The 2,924-nt window shown below is 34.3% G+C and overlaps 1 annotated feature.

The window, feature by feature from the left end:
- Nucleotides 1,914-2,415: an enhancer, noted in NCBI's record as "NANOG hESC enhancer chr12:85083456-85083957 (GRCh37/hg19 assembly coordinates)". NCBI's record gives its function as "activates a minimal SCP1, AML or CMV promoter by ChIP-STARR-seq in naive H9 embryonic stem cells {active_cell/tissue: H9 hESC(naive)}" and the evidence as "EXISTENCE:reporter gene assay evidence [ECO:0000049][PMID:30033119]".

Here is a 2,924-nt window from a genome sequence, read left to right as displayed (position 1 = left end):
CACAAGGCAAAATTATTTTGCTAGTTTTATGTAGTTGAAAAGAGTGATCAGGAGAAGAAGGACCCGAAAATTAATGGGTTTGTAAAATGACTAAAGTGTTTAAGTTCAAATGGGTAGAAATGCACTCTTTCAAAGGTTTGGAATGCTAGAGAGAAGTATGCTTAGGTGTGGAATCATTTTCTGTGATGTTATTAGTGAAAAGTCAAATCATTCTTTTTCTGGGCTCTTTCCAAGGCAATTATGCTTGGAGATGTGAGGACAGACCAGAAATCTTCTTGAAATTCTTCCTTTGATTTATTACTATCAAAATGGGTATATATAGACATAAATACACATGAACTCAATTTGAAAAAGAGCAGTGCTCCAGATATGCGTGGGCATAGCAGTTGTGTACTCCCTGCGGAAACCAATGGAAAATCCTCTGTAGAGAAATAAGTTTCTTAAGATTCAAAGAAGTTTCTTAAGATTACTTATACCCTTCACATTGATATTCTACCTAAGGCATTTTAGTGAAAGTTTTATAATCAACCCTTAAAACTTTTTCCAGCACTCTTTTCCTATTTAGAGAAAAAAGACCAATATGTTAAACAATGTGATGCAAATTAGTCCTATTAGAAACAAAACACGAGGAATGAGCTTAGTTAGCAAGAACAGGAAATAACCCAATATGTCTTTTTAACTACATTTATATGGTTACCAGCCAGACAGAGCAAAACATTTACATTTTTGTTTCTGTGTAGTTCTGACTCCAGAACATACATTGTTTTTAGAAGCTCCAATATTTTCTTTAAAATGAAAAAAAAAATGACATCATATTATGTAAGAAAAAAAAATCAAGCCATGGGTTCATACTTGGAAAAATTTAGCCTCATTCTTGGATATTTATACTCATTGGGTTTTAAAGCTCGTATTCACTTCACACCTTACTTATGCAGTAGGAAACAAGTTAGAGGAAATCCAACTTTATTTCTCTGAGCAATTTAAGCTTAGAAAATCCTGAATGCTGATAATGTAAAAAAATGAGAACAGATGGCATAATCTTTACGTAAATATAAATAACTTCCCTATGATTTTCAGCAGAGCTTAAGTTTGAACTAAAAAATATTGCTGAATGATTTTATAAATTATAGCCTTTAAGAATGAAATGAATAATAATAAAAAAGACTTTTCACAAAGACTGTCCACTAGAAACAGGCTTGTTTTGCAGCTAATCTATAACTTCATAAAATAAACCTTTATAATGAATTTTTAGTCAAAATTCTAAAAAGAGCTTTTCTTAAAATTTTTGATGTAATAATTATCTGGGATTAAATGTGGTAAGTTTCAGTGTGCAGCAGAGAAAACTATATATTCCAATATGGTGTAGTTCACTTTCCCCATTCCTAATCCAATAATCCAGTTTACAGTGCTCTTTGTTAGGTGACACTTTTTCTCTTGCACTTAATGTATTTTCTTCATTAAGTTTGCTTGCAATGTATTCCAAAGCTTTTCAGTGAAGTCTCTCCATTCTCGTAACATTAACAGCACTCCCATTTTATGTTTATCCTGCCATATGCACTAAAGACTGGAACTCACTACTCAAGTCCAAACTATGTCCCAAGAAAACAATTTCTAACACTTTGCACACTGTATTAGGTACCTGAAAAAAAGGCCTGCTATTTCTGAGAACTAAGCCACCAAGGTATCTATTCTCAAGGAAACTTTAGAACCTCCAAATTTATATAAAACTAGTAGAGGTCTCTGGGTTTAATCTAGTTATTCTAATTCTAGTTTTCTTTTTGTGACTGATTTTTAAATTATGTGCCTTATATTTAGATTATGTGTAGCTTTTTTTCTCCAGTAACATCTATTGCCAAAAATCTTTTGGTCTAATATTAATACAGGAGCTAAAAGGAAATTATTTAGGCAGATAGTAAGGGCAACAGAGTCCTCGGCAAGGTTTCCCTTTTAACAAAAAGCAGCCCCCAATTCATTTGTTTCCTAACAAAGAGCAGCCTGAAAAATTGAGCTGCAAACATAGATAAGCAAGGTGGAAGCTTGCATGGGTGAATGCCAGTAGCTATGCCAATAGAAAAGGGCTTCCTGGAAACAAGGTATGTTCAGCGTGGAGGCTCCATCTTCCCTCTTCTTTGTCGCCACTTGTACATTAAAGAGGCAGACAACATGGCGCCGGCCAGGTACATAACTCATCTGTATAATAAAAGATTAGGGTGGGGCGGCCAGCTTCTTCCTAAGCTATGTAAATAGCACACCTGTTCCAACCAATCTTTCGTTTCCTATGTAAGTCAGACAGCACCTCCTCAAGCTCATCTATGAAACCATATGCATTTCACTGGAACTGGCTACTCGTTTTCTCTGGGACCCCTCTCTCTTCAGGAGAAAACTTTCTCTTTCTGTCGCTTATTAAACGTCCACTCTTAACCTCATTTCTTGTGTGTCTGAGTCCTGGATTTCCTTGGCGTGAGACAATGAACCTCAGGTATTACCCTAGACGAATAGTGCCGTTTCATTATGCTATGGATACTCTTAACTTTTCTTTGATTTGTATGTAGCCATATATTTTTCCACATTTTGCTTTCAATCTTTATTTATGCTCATATTTTGACATGTCTTTATAAAATAACATAACCGGGGTAGGGTTTTATTTGTATGAGGTTGCTAATACAATTTGGATTGATTTCTACTATTTTATTATGGGTTTTCTTGTTCTACCTTTTTTATCCATCTCCCCAACCTCCTTTACTCCTTTTTATTGGCTATTTTCCATCTTCTGCGTCAACAATATAAGGATCTTTAAAGATATTAATTTTAACGAGAACCTCCCTGATTTATAAGGTTGTTCAGTATCTTAACTGTATCTTGTATAATCCCAGAAAGTAAATTTGTTTAGATTTATCTACATTTCCGATTTTAGTCACCATTAT

Source organism: Homo sapiens, chromosome 12 (assembly GCF_000001405.40).
Source record: "Homo sapiens chromosome 12, GRCh38.p14 Primary Assembly".
Lineage (NCBI taxonomy): Eukaryota > Metazoa > Chordata > Mammalia > Primates > Hominidae > Homo > Homo sapiens.
This window is presented reverse-complemented; position numbering and strand designations above follow the sequence as displayed.